The sequence below is a fragment of the Homo sapiens genome, chromosome 18, assembly GCF_000001405.40.
Source record: "Homo sapiens chromosome 18, GRCh38.p14 Primary Assembly".
Taxonomy (NCBI): domain Eukaryota; kingdom Metazoa; phylum Chordata; class Mammalia; order Primates; family Hominidae; genus Homo; species Homo sapiens.
In genome coordinates this window covers 70112674-70131817 of record NC_000018.10, presented here as the reverse complement: position 1 = coordinate 70131817, position 19144 = coordinate 70112674, and the positions used below count along the sequence as shown (strand labels likewise).

The 19144-nt window shown below is 33.3% G+C and overlaps 1 protein-coding gene across 19 annotated transcripts in view; it reads left to right on the top strand.

Moving 5' to 3' along the window:
* The window catches only part of RTTN (rotatin), a 202657-nt gene that overhangs the window by 73870 nt on the left and 109643 nt on the right, over positions 1-19144 (top strand). For 13 of the 19 annotated variants that reach the window (XR_430072.4, XR_007066140.1, NM_001318520.2 and 10 more), the window contains 4 exons: positions 3272-3460; positions 4077-4316; positions 10118-10262; positions 17219-17373. Coding sequence is in view for 17 of the 19 variants with exons in the window: in NM_001318520.2 (NP_001305449.1) it covers positions 3272-3460; positions 4077-4316; positions 10118-10262; positions 17219-17373 (729 nt within the window). In the remaining 2 variants the exon portion in view is untranslated. The other 6 variants (XM_017025693.2, XM_011525902.3, XM_047437468.1 and 3 more) reach the window with 4 other exon arrangements.

Here is a 19144-nt window from a genome sequence, read left to right as displayed (position 1 = left end):
TTCTATTTGTCCAATGTGGTTTTTTTCTTTCTTTTTCCTCTCTGGCTTTTCTTGATTAATTTTTAAAATTAGTCCATGTTTTCCAGCTGTTAACTTGTAGTTACATATACATTAAGTATTTTATTTATTTATTTATTTGTAGCGATTGGGATCTTGCTTTGTTGCCCAGGCTAGTCTTGAACTCCTGGCTTCAAGCAATTCTCCCACCTCAGCCTCCCAAAAGTGTTGGGATTACAGGCATGAGTCACTGTGCCCAGCTAAGTATTCTTCTATATACATTATTTCTATATATTTTATACAGATGATTATTCTTTTATAATATAGAGATTATAATTTACTTCCTTGACTGTGAACTAGTATTTTTACCACATCCCAGACAATGCAAGGACCTTAGAACACATTAATTCCATTTATTTGCTCTTCTTTTTTTTTTCTTTTATTGTCAGGTATTTAAATTCTATACATATTTTAAATTCTATAAGATGTTATTATAATTATTTTATGCAGTAAATAGTCATTTAGATTTGTATACCGTGGTCGTTTCTGTTACTTTTTATTGCTTTTTTGGTTTTTCTGCCTCCATCTGAGAATTTGTTTTTTTAAGAGTTTTTTATTATTTAATGTAGTGCACTTATATTAGCAATGATTTCTGTCAGGTTTTTTTTTTTTTTAATCTAAAAATTCTTTCTGTTTTAAAAAATGTTATCACTAGGTATAGAATTCTAGGTTGGCAGTTGGAGTCCATTTTTTTGTAGGAACATTGGCTGTCAGTTTTATTGTTGCTTCTTTGAAGGAACTGTGTTCCCCATTCTCTTAGGAGTTCCTTCAGCTATATCCCACAGCACTTTGCTTGCTTGCTTATTTATTTGGGGGAGTTTATTTTATTTTTATGGGTATATAATAGTACATATTTATGGAGTACATGTGATATTTTGATATAAGCATACAATGTATAATGATCAAATCAGAGTAATTAGGATGTCCATTACCTCTAACATTTATTGATTCTCTGTGTTAGGAACATTTCAGATCTGCTCTTCTAGTTATTTTGAAATATACAACAAATTACTGTTAACTATTTTTACCCTATTGTGCTACTGAACACTAGATCTTATTCCTTCTATCTAAATTTTTATGTACCCATTAGCCATCCCTTCTTAATTCCCCCCTTCCCCACCATCCTTTACAGCCTGTGGTAATCATCATTCTACTCTTTATCTCCATGAGATCATTTTTTTTTTTTTTTAGCTCCCACATATAAAGGAGAACATGTGATGTTTGTTTTTCTGTGCCTGGATTATTTCAGTTAACGTAATGACTTCCAGTTCCATCCATGTTGTTTCAAGTGACAGGATTTCATTCTTTTTTACATCTGAATGATACTCCATTGTGTATTTATACCACATTTTAAAAAATCCATTCATCTATTGATGGACACTTAGGTAGATTCCATATCTTGGTTATTGTGAATAGTGCTACAATAAACATGGGAGTGCATATATCTCTTTGACATACCAATTTCCTTTCTTTTGGATATATACCCAGCAGTGGGATTGTTGGATCATATGTAGGTTCTGTTTTTAGTTTTTTGAGGAACTCCATACTGTTTCCAATAATGACTCTACTAATTTACATTCCCACTAACAGTGTGTGAGCATTCTCCTTCCTCCACATCTTTGCCAGCATCTGTTATTTTTTTTTGTCTTGTTGATAAAAGCCTTTTTAACTGGGGTGAGATATCTCATTGTGGTTTTGATTTGCATTTCTCTGATGATTGGTAATGTTGAGAATTTTTTCATATACCTGTTGGTCATTTGTATGTCTTTTAAGAAGTTTCTATTCAGATCTTTTGCCCAGCTTTTAATTGGATTATTATTATTATTATTTTGCTGTTAAGTTGTTTGAGTTCCTTATATATTTTGATGGTTAATCTCTTGCCAGTTGAATAGTTTGCAAGTGTTTTCTCTCATTCCATAGGTGGTCTCTTCACTTTGTTGACTGTTTCCTTTGCTATGCAGAAGCTTTTTAGCTTGATATGATCCCATTTACTTATTTTTGCTTTGCTTGCCTGTGTTTTTGAGGTCTTACTTAATAAATCTTTGCCCAGGCTAATGTCCTGAAGCATTTCTCTAATGTTTTCTTCTAGTAGTTTCATAGTTGCAGGTCTTACATTAAGTCTTTAATTCATTTTGATTTGATTTTCATATGTGGCGAGAGATAGAGATCTAGTTTCATTTTTCTGCATATGGATATCCAGTTTTCTGAGTACCATTCATTGAAGAGACTGTTCTTTCCCCAAATTATGTTCTCGGTGCTTTTGTTGAAAATTGACCAAATGTGTGTATTTATTTGTGCATTCTTTATTCTGTTTTATTGGTCTGTGTGTCTGTTTTTATGCTAGTATCATGCTGTTTTGGTTACTATAGCTTTGTAGCATAATTCAGAGTTAGGCAGTGTGATACCTCCCTCTTTGTTCTTTTTGCTCGGGATTGTTTTGGCTATTTAGGACCATGTTTTGTTCCATATACATTTTAGGAGTTTTAAAATTTCTTTTTGTTCCTTTTAGGATGCAAATTTACATGCATGTTAGATTATTTCACCATGTTAAAGGAAAAACTTGAGACAAAATACACATGCATGTGTCTTTACGGTAGAACAAAATTAACTTTGGTTTAAAAGATACTGCTATTGAATCTGTTTTTATTTCTAAACATATTTCTTGGTTCTTGTTGAATTTATTGATGATGAAACCATGTTCTCAAGTGAAAACAATAAGCTGGAATTCAGTCATTTAGTGACCTCTATGATCATAGGCAATTCATTTATCAGCTTTAAGCCTCATTTTTGATCATTTGTAAAATAGGTATCATAGTGCCATACCATGTAACTGTGAATGAATGATACAAAATAAGCAGTGTTTGGCATAAAGTAAATATCAGTGTTTTAGCTGAACACCTTTTATGTTTGGTTCACTGTATTCATGGTCCCTGACTTCAAGGAGCATTAGTTATCTCCACAACAACTCTAATATAGCATAGAATGTGGTAAGTCCTCAAGAAAGGATTTAAGTGTTCTGGGGAGTTTAGAGGAGATGAAAAGAATAATTGAAATACTGTATAAATTATGATAATTGTTTAAAATAGGGACTAAGAGAAACCTTTGCATTATTGTGGGTTGGGAGGCATTGAACTAGCCCTCATTTGTGGCTCATCTTTTTGAGTAGCATTTAAGAATTTGAAAGTTTGTAATTATTTGTACACATTTTCTTTAGGTACCATCTACCTGTTCATGTAATTGGACACCATGCTGTGAGTCCTTACTCCATAGTTTTGCCCTTATCTGCTGATTGTTTGGCCTTGAAGCCGGTGTCAGATATGCTGAGAATAGCTTGGAACCTGTCATGGTATCATGGGAGTGATAATCTGTTGAAGCAAATGAACTCTGAAACTAAAACGCAAGAGTAAGCTCTTATATTAGTTTAAAAAGCATTTGCAATTAATTAATTGTAATTAATTAGTTAAGTTTTACTTTTTCCTTAGGTCCAGTAGCTTTTTCCCTTGGTATCATCTGATTCTGCTTTTTAACAGTTATAATTTTTACTTTCTTTTAAATATTACATGTGTTTATTACTTTTAACAATCTATCATATGGGAAAACTTTAAATGAAAAAGCATTTTACTCTGTACTGTTTTAGAGGTTAAAGTCTGATTTGTTCGTAGATATGAATCACTAGGAAAAGGGTCCTGGATTAGAACAAAATCTCAGTAAGTATATGCATGAGTGTTATCATTAGTGTGATGGTGATTACTTTTGAATATCTTAATATTCTAATCTGTCTGTCTTAAGTGAATAAAAATTTTTATAAGGAGGAAAAGTCAATATAAACATTTGGGATGCCAATGTAAAATCCTAATATTGACAGATATGTATCAGTTTTTCTTCTGGCTGTAAGTCAACCTTTTGTTAAAAGAAAATGAAGATAAAACAGCTTTTGGGAGAGTTTATAATAGAAATAAGTGTGAGCTTTTATTTAAATAGCTTTATGTTCCTCCTTCATTTTTTTTCTTTTTGTCTAGAATTTTAGATGCATTGAAGTTATCTACAGAGGACATCCTCACTCTGAAGATAACACACATGGCTAGTGGGCTGCAGGACTGCCTCCATTCCATTGTTCAGGCTGCAACCCACAGGGAAGTTAGGGCTGCTGTCACCAGGATGAGTTTTTATCTTCTGAATGACAGATTGTCTTTAAAGGGTTGCCCTGGTCCATGTGGGGTTACCTTGAAGTCCTTGGCTTGGCACACCGCACTAAACAGGTCAGTGTAAGGTCAAGGCTGCCAGTTTCAAAGACCTGGATTGCATTGTATTGTGTTCATCTCCTAACCTTTGAAGATAAGAGTCTATGCCCTTACTGCTGCTATCATAGAAAGAAAAACTCCAGGATTTTTATCATCTGTAATAATAGCCAAAGAGAAATTTTTAATTTAGTTATTGCATTGTTGAAGGGATTATTAATAAACTTGTAACAATTTATTCTTAGAAAATTTTACCTCACAAAAGCAAATAATTAGGATAAGACATGGATGAAACAAATTGAATGTTTATTTCTATCCATGTTATAAATGAGTTGAGACATCAGTGAATTGATTAATAGCTGTGATACACCTGCCACAGGCTGTTTTGTTTTGCTTTTGTTTTGTTCTTAAGTAAATTATATCATTTTTCTTTTTACTCTCAATTTCATGAAGTTGATTGCCATGTGGCGGTCCTTTATAGCAGTTAATTGAGAAGGCTCTAGCTTGTCAATTTAACATGCTTAACTTGTAGCAGATGGTTGCATTTGCAACAAGACTGATAAGCAACCACTGCAAGCAGGTTTTCATTTTATTCTTCATGTGACTTTAGTATAAAATGTATAACTTTATTATTTAACATAAAATGTGCAGTTTTTAAGCTGCTAGGTTAAATGAGTTTCCAAAATATGAATTCCTTTATTAGTTTAGCTTTAAAAATTAGTTTATCTGATTAGGCTTTCCAGTGGTGTGCTGGTGCCCACTAATGCAGCCTTGTGAGAGAGCTGATGGTTGAATTTTCAGGATTTTTGTAAGGTGATTGTTAAACACAGCCATTCTTAATTATATAAACTTACAATTAAATAAATTATATGAAGACAAAAGGTAATGAATATGCAAACATCACTTTCTAATTATGTGGCAACATTTTACTGTTATCTTTGTTCTTGAGGTTATGCATACATATGCACTACAGGGGTATGTATTTTATGGAAATAACTACAATGGAGTACCACTGTGCATCTCTTCACAACTTCATGTTACATGGTAGCTCCACATTGTCTACAGTAGTATATTTACACCATGGAAATTGACAAACACAATAAGTCAGCACTCTCAGTTACATATTTATCAGCACACTCCCGCATTTAAACAGTCTCGCCAGTTGAAGAATGCATAAATCCTTCACTTTAAATAAATGTAATATGTCCCTATTTGTCAAAAGAAATTTTAACATAAAAGCTGATTGAATTCATTGCACTAAGTTTTCTTTCTCTTGTGAATTAAAACCATAGAAATAGTATGCAATACCACATTACAGGAAAGACTCTCAAACTGTGGGTCAGTGGAAGCCTTTAGAGTATTTCAAATTGCCCAATAGCAGTAACTGTATGTGAGCATCACATTTTTTATGGTTAGTTTCCTCAGGACTAGTGTAAGTGGAGAGTATAGACTGTGTATATGTTTAATATATACACACATGCATATATAATATTCATCTTGTATTTGGTTTTTAGGCCTGTGTTTGATCATGGCAACACAGACACTACTGCCTAATTTATAAATATTCATGTATTTCTGCTGTATTATGTTTCACTAAGGAATGTATCAAAAATATATATCACAGAATCCACCTTTTTTCATGAAAACTTTTTAAAAACTTTACTTCCAGCAATGTATGTACTAATGAGGCTTTGGGAAACTTTAGTTTTGCTTTCATTCAGTTTAATGATAGAAAGGAACATTATCTTTTTGACTGATTATCTAAGATGAACCAACAGCTTAAAGGGTGCTTGGAGATAGAAGATTCCCATAAATCATGGCTGTATAAAGTATTGAGATATTGAGAACATTTTTATAAGCTTAGTTTAATATTTTTAAAATACAGCTATTTCAAATTATATCATTCTAGACAAAACAAAATATAGAGAAGCATGTTCATACCTGTGTGAATGGTTTTTTATTGTATTTTAAAAATAATGTTATTTTTTACACATTTTCCATGTCAGTAAATATACTTTGAGGCTAATTTTTCAAATATATGATATATCCAAATGAATGTTCCGCAAAAGAGGTCCTTTTAGGAGTGAGTGTGTATGTTAGAATAATTCTGGCTTTGCTCAGATATTTTGAAATTGTCCTCTCAGGTCATTTAAACAGCAGATGTAAGGAAGTCTTATTATATTTTGAAGTTATATTTAATTTTTTACTAAAAAATGATATTAGCAAACTCAACTATCCAGAGAAGGGTAAAAATGATTTTTACATGTATACCGAAATGAACACCACCCTAAACCATGACTATTTATCACTATTAACAAAAGTATATTTCAGTTTGACAAAAAACATGGTTTCTAAAATCTTTTTACTTACGGTACTGTGGCTTCTAAACATAACTTTCCAAGATGATTATTTTAACAGCCCAACATTAATTTATGTGTATGTTTTTATATGTGTATGCTAACACACAAGCATACAATTATAATCTAATATCATTTTGGAAACTTATTTTAAGAAAACAGATGATAGTCATGGTTTAGTAGGATTACAAGTTGTCAGAGGTATCTAGAGTCTTCTTTCAACTAGTTTCTGTTGAGTTTGCATGTTTAATGCCTCTCTACTCCTTTCCTACTGGAAGTCCTATTGCTACTGTTTTTCTCCATTTTTCACCAGACTGTAGACTGACTAGCGAATTGGTTTTTCTGCTTTTAACCTTATGCCACTCATTTATGTTGCTTCCTGAATGATCCTTCTGAAATACATGTCACCTGTGGGTTCTCTTCCATGGTGTGCTAGATATTAATAGAATTCCAACCCCTTAGCATGCTGTAGAAAGTTCTTTTTGATCTAGCTCTTGCTTACCTTTTCAGCTACAGTTTCCTCCTCTCTCTCTAACATATGCTGTGTTTCTATGAAGTGCAAATATTGGGGTTTTATGAAACTGCTTGATATTTTAGGGCATACACTTCTGTTTTATACATCCTTGCTTTTACATAGTTAACTCCTTGGCTGCCTTGTGAATATCTACTCTTCCTTGAGCTCCAGGGTCTTCTTACTCTGTGATGTATGTGGAATTCTAGTTACCCTGATTGTCATGTGGCTTTCCTGCATTACTTCTACAGTTGTTTAAATATTTGTTTTCTCATGTGCCTTGGGTTTATTACATTCCTTTTTATATCCCTCACATATCGCATAAGTCATAGTATACAGTTGGCCATGCAGCCTCAGCGTGAACACCTCCTTTGAAGGATATTCATTCTGTTTTTGCGCTGTGATTATTCGTAAGTTTTTTGTTCTTTTAGACTGTACCTGATCATTTCTACCTGTTATTCTGTCCTTTAAACTCACAGAATAAATAATGTCTTCACATGTGACAGCTCTTCATTTAAACATAACTATAATTTCTTCTCTATTCCCCCCACCCTGCTTTAAATGATTTGTTTTTTTTTTTAGATAGACTTTAAAAGCCACAGTGTCCAGACTTCTCATTTGTTCATGCTATTTTACAAGGGTATTGTGTTTCTTAGGACTCTCCCTGAGATCTGGACATGATACCTTATATGGGTGTGGTGCTGTGGCATGGGGTGAATAGGAAGAAAGGGGCTACTGCCTTTCTTTTCCTACTGCTTTTCCATCATTCAACAAACATTTATTGATCACCTACTAGGTGTCACTCTTGTAGGAAATATAGCAGTGGGCAAAACTGATAGGGTCCTGCTCTCATGGAACTTGGAATTAAGACAGCTAAAAGTATAATCAAAAGTAGAAATGCTTCCAAGCAGACTATTAGGAAACTGCATTAGAGGAGCACCCTATCCCTCTTCAGTAGAGAGAAAGTGGTTCAGAGAATGAAGCTTAAGCCAAGGCATAACAGGTAGAAGGATGTTAAAAGTCTATGGGATTGGAAGCCGAAAAGATACCAGGCACACAGAGAAACAAATACCACATGATCTGTCTTATATATGGAATCTAAAAAAGTCGAATTCAAAGAAGTAGAGTAGAATTGTTACCAGAGGCAAGTGGCAGGTGGATATGGGTAGGGAAAAGGGAGACGTTGCTGAGAGGTTACAAAATTCCAGTTAGACAAGAGGAATGAGTTCTGGTGATCTCTTACAGCATAGTGACTATAGTTAATAATAATATATGTTTCAAAATAGCTAAAAGAATAGATGTTAAATGTTCTCACCACAGAGAAATAAGTATTTGAGGTGATTGGTATGTTAATTAGCCTGATTGGATCATTCCACAATGTATACATGTGTCAGAACACCACATTGTATCCTAAAGATACATACAATTATTATTTGTCAGTTAAAAATAAAACAAATAAATGGAATATAGTTTGGTGCATGTTATGTGACAGAAATTTGATACTTTGAATCCGTAAATGGATGGTCAGTTGACTCACAACCACTTGCAGAATATATTATTTCTCCTCTAGACTAAAATGCCATATTCAACAAATATTATACAAATTAATTTTTTTTTTAAATGCCAGGCAAAGGGATAGGCCCTGAGTTAGGAAAGAGTGTCTTGTGTCTTCAAGAGGAATTGAAAAGAGGATAGTACACTTAGATTTAGGGGATATGAGGGTGGTTATAAAATGGGGTTACAGAGGTGATATTTTAATGTTACACTGGATATCATAGAAGACTTCTTATAATCTTTGTGATTGTTAAATCATAAATCTCCCAAAGATCTATGGTTGTTAGAATCACCTCTCAATTTTCATAATCCGGCACTTGCCATCCTACTCAGCTGAATGTCATTTTGGGGATGTGAGAATTTTAAGTAAGGAAAAATAATAATGAGACAAACACCACATTACTAAGAAATACAGCATTATATATCCCTGGTGTTGGACTGCTTAGTTTAGTATTCCTGTTTTAAAACTTGCTAGCCGTGTGACTGTGGAAAAACGACTTAACCATATTTTTGCTTGGGTCTTCTTGTCTTTGAAATAGAGGTGCCTACTTCATAATGTTGTTATGAAGTTTGACAGAAACCCTGCTGTTAGAACATAGGCTGGCACAAGGTTGGTGCTCCATAAATGCTGAGTATTAAGATTCGTATTATTGTCACTCTTATTAACATTTTGATGCAATGGCTTTAGATTTATAAAAAATAAAACATTACAGATAAAATTGGATCTCATATCTCTTGCTGATTGCTTTTTAAAAAAAACGATTTCCAAACTACTTCTCCCTTTTAAATAAAAGTTTTATTGTCTACTAATCTTTTAGCTCTCTTAAACCAGTTTTTTTTTTTAAAGAAATCTTAGAAAATTGGCTCATATCCTTTTGCTCTGAACTTAAAAAGAAATTTCATCCTAAGTCTACCTTCAGTGTTTTCCTTGCCTGTTACAAACTCTAGTAGCGTCCTTGCAGGCCTTTTTTTCCCCCTCACTTTATTACCTTATTTTTTCGAGTTGGTCAGAATTAGGTTTGAAGTACTAATTCTTCTCATCAGTGAAACATGACATTCCCAGTATGAAAAGCAAGTTTCACTGGGCGGTTATTAGAGTCAGTGTTTTTCCCCTTGGTATTTTTTTGGTACTTTTTCTGAATTTGTTATTTTTCTCTTATGATATTTGTCACTTCTAGTTATTTTAGTTACTTGTCCACATGTTTTTTCCACTATAAGCTCATGTTCTTGAAGGCAGATACCCAGTTTGTTTCAACTTTGCATTTTCCAAAGCATTTAAAACAGTGTCTCATAAAATAGCATCCTCACAAGACATCTGTTAAGTCCACATATCTATGATGAACAGTGGTATTGTGTATTTTAAAGCGCCAGAAACCATGATTATTGTCTTTTCATTATAGGTTTTTACAGGTGCTTCCTGCTTGCACTGAAGATGAGAAACTGCTAATAGATATCATACATTTTTTAAATAAATTAATAAAGGAACAAAGAAAAAATTCTTCACTAGAACTTCTAAACTGGATTCTCGAATTACTTCTTAGACATGTAAGTGGTGTTAAGGAATTTGGATTTTAAGTTTGGGAAATAACTTATTTGTAGAAATCATTAACATTATATTATGGAAAAGGATAATTTTATATTGTCTATGCTTGGTAAAGTAGTCTTCATGTAATGAATGGCTCATAACAACATGGCTTTCCTGATACGATTGTGAATGTGTTTATTAAAATTCTGTACAGTGAATGGGACCTACAGTCTTGTGTTTAATAAAACCTGTTCTGCATGTGAACTTTCTGCTGCAACTGTATTTTTAAGTGGGGATTTCAGTTCAGGTGGCAGGGGACAGGGTGGATGTCCAGATAGGCATGTTGAGAGTTAGCTAACAAAGCCAGATGGAGGCAGGAGGGGGTATAGTGATGGTGCAGTTATAAAGATAAAGTGTGTTCAGGCCTTAAATAACGGTTACTGGAATATTTACCCTTCTAGCCCCCACTACTGTCAGATTTTTAGCTCTTCTAAAAATTCTAAATTTTTTTTTTTTATTTTTTTTGAGACGGCGTCTCGCCCTGTCACCCAGGCTGGAATGCAATGGTGCGATCTTGGCTCACTGCAACCTCTGCCTCCTGGGTTCAAATGATTCTCCTGCCTCAGCCTCCTGAGTAGCTGGGATTACAGGTGCCTGCCACCACGCCCAGCTAATTTTTGTATTTTTAGTAGAGACAGGGTTTCACCATGTTGGCCAGGCTCGTCTTGAACTCCGGACCTCAGGTGATCCGCCCACCTTGGCCTCTCAAAGTGCTGGGATTACAGGCGTGAGCCACCGTGCCTGGCTCTAAAATTTTTCTAAATAGCTATTCTAAAAATTTTGGCTATTCAGATTTCTTATTCTAAGAAGCGTGTGAAGAACCCAAGAAGCCAGGTCCCTGTTGTTGGTCTATCTGTCTCTTTATGTATTTATTTGCAAATACCGTATGAATTTACTCAACTTAGCTAAGATAAAGCTTTACACAAATAAGAAGAAAAACAAAACAAAACTAGAAAAGAGGGCCTAAACTGATATAGGACATAGTGGATCTTATAAGGCAAATATGTTTCATTATATATTAACACATTTGCGAAACTTAGAGATAATTTTATGTAAAAATATGAATTACTGTGTTGTCAGAAATGCTAACTGATATGAATGTTTGTGTGTATATAAAACTTATTTAGAGGTTTATTATCGTCTTAGGCTGTTTTCTGTTGTTTTTAACATAATATCAGAAGCTGGGTAATTTATAAAAAACAAAATTTATTTCTTACAGTTATGGGGTGCAGGAAGTCCAGGTTTAAGAGGGCATATCTGGTGAGAGCCTTCTTGCAGTGGGGACTCTCTGAAGAGTCCCGAGGTGATGCAGGGTATATGTGGTGAGGGGGCTGAGCATGCTGATGTGCTATCTCAGGTTTTTCTCTTCTTACAAAGCCATCAGTTCCCCTTCCATGATAACCCATTAATCCACTATCCATGAATGGATTAGTCTATTCATGAGGGTAGGGCCTTCATGATCCAGTCACCTCCAAAGGCCCCACCTCTCAATACTGTTACTTTGGGGATTAAATTTCAACATGAATTTTGGAGGGAATGTTCAAACCATAGTAATTATCTTTTCCTTTATTGTAGATTGGTGAAGGTAGGGACTGTTTTGTTCATTATTGCATACCCAGCATTTATTATAGTGCCTTGCACATAGTGAGCTCTCAATAAACATTTATTAACTCAGTAATAAGCTATGTAGTTAATTACAAGAAGCACACAAAACCTTAATTTTATCACTAGTTAAGATTTAACAAAAATGGAAACCATGTATTACTTTCAAGGTTACTTATATATGCAAGTATATTTATAGACTGAATTTCTAGAATTGTAATTGCTGAGTCAAATTGTAGAGGTGCGTGTGTGCTGAGGTTTTTGTGGTTTTATAAATAGATAACTTATTTTGAATTAGATGGAGATTTTTTCATATTCGGTCTTTTCATGAATTGTATCTTGATGTCCTTGCTGGTTCTCCGCCACAATTGGGTTGTTAGTCTCCTTTCATTTCTTCTTTCCTGTCCTTTCTTTTCCTCCCTTCCCTTCTCCCTTCCCTTTCTCCTTTGCTTTTTCCTTCCATTTTCCTCTTCCCTCCCCTCCCCTTTCCTTGGAGCGTGATTTCATTCTGGTACCTGCAACTTGGACATTAGTGTAGAGATCTTTCACCTTTTGATTAAATTTATTCCTAAATATCTTAATTTTTTTTGGTAGCTATTTTAAATGAGGTTTTTTTTTGGGGGGGCGCGGTTACTGTATAGAAATGCTACTGATTTTTTATAAGTTGATTTTGTATCCTGCAACTTTATTGAATTCATTTTTAAGATCAAAGTTTTTTGGTGGAGTCTAGGTTTTTCTAGATTTAAGATTATATCATCAGCATAGAGGGACAGCTTAACTTGCCTTTTTTCTAATGTGGATGCCTTTTATTTCTTTCTATATACTAATTGCTCTGGCTAGGATTTCCAGTACCATATTGAATAGACATGGTGAGAGTAGACATCCTTGTCTTGTTCCTGATCTTAGAGAAAAAGCTTTAAACTTTTCACCATTGAGAATGATGTTAGCTGTGGGTTTTTCATATATGGCCTTTATTGTGTTGGGATTCCTTTTCTACTTAATTTATTGAGAGTTTTTATTATGAAAGGATGTTGAATTTTGTCAAATGCTTTTTCTGCATCTGTTGGTATAATCATGTGGTTTTTGTTCTTAATTCTGTTAATTTGGTGTATCACATTTACGCATTTGTGTATGTTGAACCATCCTTGCATCCCTGGAATGAATTCCACTTGATTATAGTGAGTGATCTTTTTATTGTGCTCTTGGTTTCAGTTTGCCAGTATTTGGTAAAGGATTTTTTATATCTGTGTTTATCAGGGATATTAGCCTGTAATTTTCTTTTCTTGTAGTTCCCACGTCTGGCTTTGGTATCAGTGTAATGCTGCCGTCATAAAGTGAGTTTGGAAGTATTCCTTCTTCATTTGGTTTTAGGAGTACAGAGATTAGTATTAATTCTTTAAATGTTTGGTGGAATTCAGCAGTGAAGCCATCAATCAGGTCTTGGGCTTTTTTTTGGTGAAAGACTTTGCATTACTGATTTAATCTCCTTATTATTGGTCTGTTCAGATTTTCTGTTTCTTCATGATTCCATCTTGGTAGCTCTATGTGTCTAGAATTTTTTCCACTTGGTTGTCCAATTTGTTGACATGAAATTGTTCATAATAGTCTCTTACGATTCCTTGTGTTTCTGTGGTATCTGTTGTAATGTCTTCCCTTTTCGTTTCTCATTTTGTCTTCTTTTTTTATTAGTCTAGCTAAAGGTTTGTCAATTTTGTTCATCTTTTCAAAATCTCAATTCTTGATTCTGTTACTGTTTTCTATTGTTTTTCCAGTTTCTATTTCATTTGTATCTGCCCTTATCTTCATTGTTTTCTTTTTACTAAGTTTTGGCTTCATTTATGCTTCTTTTTCTAGTTCCTTGAGGTTGTTTACTTGATATCTTTCTTTTTGACATAGATGTTTATTGTTATGTATGTCCTTCTTAGACCTGCTTTTGCTGTATCCCATAAGTTTTGGTTGGTTTGGTGTCCATTTTTGTTTGTCTCATGATATTTTAAAATTTCCCTTTTAGCTTTTTCTTTGACCCACTGATTGTTCAGGAGCATGTTGCTTAATTTTTATGTATATGTGAATACTCCAGAATTCCTTCTTTTGGTGACTTCTAGTTTTTTATCACTATGGTCAGAAATGATATTAGATATGATTTCAGTCTTGTTATATTTGTTAAGACTTGTAACACCATACATGTACTGTTAATTTTGTAGTATGTCATAAGGTTTATGTATATTTTATAATTTATTCATAGTTATGAAATTAAAATTAAATTCCTACAAGACTCTAGATGATTGTACTATAATTTTAATGCAGTTTTTGAAAAGGATTTTTGGTACAGTTACATTTACTTATTTGGTTTTGTATGGTATTAAACCTTTCTTCGGAAAGCTTCTACTTTATCTCATATATTATCACCACAAGTGTTATAAATAATACTACTTTTAAGAGTGCACAAAAGTGAACTTAAGTGTTCACTATCAGTTGGGTTTACTCCCTAAATATTATGCTACAAGATAAATTAATATATGTTATATAACTACCAATGTTTAGGATAAAGGGAACCTGGAAATAGAAAATCAAGTACCTTTTAAAGTTTATCCTTTGAAGTGAGTAAAATAAGTGAGAAATGATTTAAGAAGCTCAGTAAAATAACATTTCCAAGTAAATTGCTTTGAATGTATGGACATACATGAAAAGATATACAAAAGTTGTGGTTGCAAAAACAAAATTAGGCAGATATGAACGCCTGATTAGTCAGAAGAATGCTAAGAGGAAGTGAAAAGAAAAATCAGCTAACTTCCCGAGGGAAGATTTAGGAACTTTCTCTTGTGAAATTTTTTTCCATGTGTTTTATCAAGACATTCACTTATTACAAACATATTGTAATTCTTAGGCAATTTAGGAGTTTATTGCACCTCTAATCTGTTTTTAATATGATATTTTGTTTATAGTAACCTAGAAGTGCTGAATTTGAATACCTTTCTTTTTGGAATGCATTTTTTTGATGGAAGTTCACAAATGTGGGGCTGTTAGTTTTTTTCTTCTTTTGGTGAAGCTCAGCAGAACTACACAGCATATATATTTTCCTTGGCTGGCTTTCCCGTAACGGGCTCAATGTGCACTCAGACATTATTGAGGGTCTTGCAGTTACTTTTGGCATAGCTTGCTGATGGATGTAAAGTTGGATATGATGAGTGGTAACTGTGTGTGTAAACAAAATGAGCCATCATTATAGAAATGGTTGCCTTTTAGAGGTCAACAGTGACAAAATAATGGCCCAAGTAGTTGGTTTAAAATTAGGATTGAATCCTAACGTCTAAAGACAAAAACTTCAGATATGATTAAGCACTTGACATCTGTAGGCATCAGTAGAGACATCTTATTCTACTCTATTGTACTTGAGAAATGGTAATTCACCCTATATTTTACAAGTGGTATTGCTGAGGTTCACTGAATTTCAGTGTTAACATGTAAATCAAAGGTGAAAAGAGAAAAAAAAACTTCAGTAATCTTCAAGTGGAAGCAAGTTATTAATAGGATGAGATTCTTTGGGAGAATCTTAATTTTTAGGTATACACATACTGTTTCAGTATATTCATGTATTAATAGTAGCTTCTACTTAATTTTTATCAGCATATCAGAATTAATAATTCCTAATAATAAAATTGTTTTACAAGATGGAGTTTGCGTCTTGGTATAAACAGTTTGTTCATTTTGTCAGTAGTTTTGGGAGTCAGAAGGCACGTGAATGTGAGTCAGCTTTTGGATATTTAGGGCTCAGAACATTATAGAAAATTTATTTATTTTTATGATTTACTAAATGTGTATTTCGATTCTTTTATTCATGTATGAAACATAAAAGTTGCAGTTATGTCTTATTCAATCTTAATTTATCCAAAGACATATATTGCTTAAGATAAAAGAAAAAGTTGGGAAAAAAACTATTTAGATGTTAAAATACTGTAAAATAAGAGCAAAATGTCACTACTAGTTTCCAAAAGCTCTCAGTTATATTATTTATAATTGTATATATCTCTATATACTATAAGCAATTTAGAGGTTTCTTTACATATTTTCATTTCTTTTCCCTAAAGAGAATGCAGTTAATTTTGAGTTGAGCTCTTTTAGGTGAAGGATTTTATAAGAACAATAGTTACATTTTGATTGTATCTCTTTTTGTATGTTTTTACATGCACTAGTGATGTGACACTGTGCTGAGGATGGAATATTAACTAGCTTTGGAGTAAGATGCTTCTTGCTCTGCCCTTGTCTGTCTAAGACTTAGACAATTATTTAACCTCTTTATAAATCTATGTTCCCATCTGTAAAACAGGAATGAAAATGCAAATCTTCTAGTTTATTCAAAAAGTCAAATGAAATCTTACTATCTTTTTTTTTTAGCACAGTGCCTGAGGCATCATAGATGATTAATAAATATCCCATATATCTATTAATGCTTCTGATTAATGTAACGTTTTCTTTTGTCAATATTATTAGAAATAATCCTCTTATATTCCTTTATCTATTTTTTTTTTAGTTGGGAAAAGAGGAAAAACTTTAGAAAGAACTAGTATTTGTTTACTAGCCTATCAAGGTGGCAAAGATTATTGCAGTAATAATCCACATAGCACTGGCTTGGGTGCTGTGGGTCTTTTCATGTCCTGTGTAATTGTATGTATTGGTACATTTTTTACAGGGACAATTTGGCAATATATATCAAAAAATTAAAACTACTATAATATTTTGATTTAGTAATTTTATTGCAGAATTCATACATAAGATAAAATCCAACTTGAGTACACTGTGTGTTGCAGCTTAGTGAAATTATGCATCATTGATTATCCAGGAGTTAGTGTGGTAAATCCTTATTGTTGAAAAACAATCAGATATTAAACTAATGTTTTTGCAGAAATATTGTTAATAACGGGAAGTAGGAAAAAATGGTTACAGTAGTGATTTTTTTCACTTGATACGGGTTTGTGAAAAATGTACTGTTTTAATTCTGTTTATATTCTCAGAAACAAAAAGGAGAGTTATATATCAATATATAATAGTGGCAATTTCTGTGTGGCATGATTATGTGTGGTTTTGTTTTTCTCGTCCTTTTTTTCTATTTTATATGATAAATATGTTTTTCTTTTGTTGAGAATATATTAAACATCTTTTGAATTTAGAACATCTCTACTAATGCAGTAAAGGCCCACACCTACTAGTTAGGTAATATAGCTCTTACTAGAACTTGCTTAGCAACCAAACCCTTTATAGGAAACAATATATAGTTCAATTAGTAAATACATTTTTTACAAATTTCATTTTTTAGAGTGCAAACCCACTGTTAGACCTCTTGGTTCTGACAGAGTCACAGGCACGAGAAGAAACAGATGATATCCGGACTGCTGTCAGGCAACAACTTCAGAAAGAACTGATTGCTCTTTTTGATACCTTGCTGCTCAATTTCATGGAAGTTACTGACAGGTACCATTTGTAATATTGCAGGTTTAGGTGCATTTATATAGAACCCAAGTTTTCTTTGATTTTCAAAGTTTTACTTTGTACTTCTTTCAAATTAAGAAATACTTCTTTCAAATACTTAAATAATAATCAGTTATAGTGTTCTGTTTGTTTTTGTTTCAGTTTAATCTGTTACAGCCTGATTGTACCTGCTTGGTCTCTTTCACTACACACATGCACTCACATATGCACACACACAGTTTTGTTCTCTAGGGTTTAATTCCTGGTTCTCTCTTAATTATCTACAAATCTACTTGAGCAGTCATACCTATGCCTATGACTTTATGATTATCTTTACACTGATGACTTTCAAATACATATCTCTAGTTATGAATTCTGTTTTTTAAAAATAAAAATATTAAGATGAAAGTCACTATTTTAACCATTTTAAAATGTACATTTGAATGGTTTTAGTATATCCGCAATGTTTGCAACTGTCACCACTACCTAATTCCAGAACTTTATCATCACCCCAAGAGAAGCCTTGTATCCATGAAAAAGTCTCTCCCTATTCACACATTCCTCTGGGCCCTGGCAGCCACTAGTCTTCTTTCTATGTCTGTGGATTTGCCTATTCTGGATATATCACATAAATGAAATCAAACAATAATGTGACCTTTAGCGTCTAGCTTCTTCACTTAGCATCATGTTTCCAAGCTCCTTGCATACTGTAGCAAATATCACTACTTCTTTCTATGACTGAATAATATTCTATTTATAGATATGCCATGTTTTGTTTATCCATTCATTCATTGGTGGACATTTGATCTGTTTCTACCTTTTGGCTATTATGAATAGTGTTGCTGTAAACACTCATATACAGATTTTTGTGTGGACATGTGTTTCAGTTCTCTTGAGTATATAATTAGGAGTGGAATTGTTGGTTCATATGGTAACTGTAATGGTAACTCTATGTTTGACTTTTCAAGGAAATGCCAAGCTGTTTTCCACAGCAGCTATACCATTTTACATTCCCACCAGCAATGTATGAGTGTTTCATTTTCTTCATATCCTCACCAACACCTGTTATTATAGCATCCTAATGGGTGTAGACTGGTATCATTTTGGTTTTTATTTGCATTTCCCCAATGAAAAATAATTTTGAGCATCTTCTCATGTTCTTATGGCTATTTGTGTATCTTCTTCGGAGAAATACCTATTCAACATCTTTGAGGATTTAGTATCAGTGTGCATCAGGGATATTGGCCTGAAATTTTCCTTTTTTGTTTTGTTTTGTTTTTTGCTTTAAATATGTCCCAGAGATTCTGGTACATTGTGTCTTCGTTCTCATTGATTTCAAAGAACATCTTTATTTCTGCCTTCATTTCGTTATTTGCTCAGTAGTCATTTAGGAGCAGGTTGTTCGGTTTCCATATAGTTGTGCGGTTTGGAGTGAGTTTCTTAATCCTGAGTTCCAGTTTGATTGCACTGTGGTTTGAAAGACTGTTTGTTATGATTTGCGTTCTTTTGCATTTGCTGAGGAGTGTTTTACTTCCAATTATGTGGTCAATTTTAGAATAAGTGCGATGAAGTGCTAAGAAGAATGTATATTCTGTTGATTTGGGGTGAAGAGTTCTGTAGATGCCTATTAGGTCCGCTTGGTCAAGAGCTGAGTTCAAGTCCTGAATATCCTTGTTAATTTTCTGTCTTGTTGATCTGTCTAATATTGGTAGTGGGGTGTTAAAATCTCCCACTGTTATTGTGTGGTAGTCTAAGTCTCTTTGTAGGTCTCTAA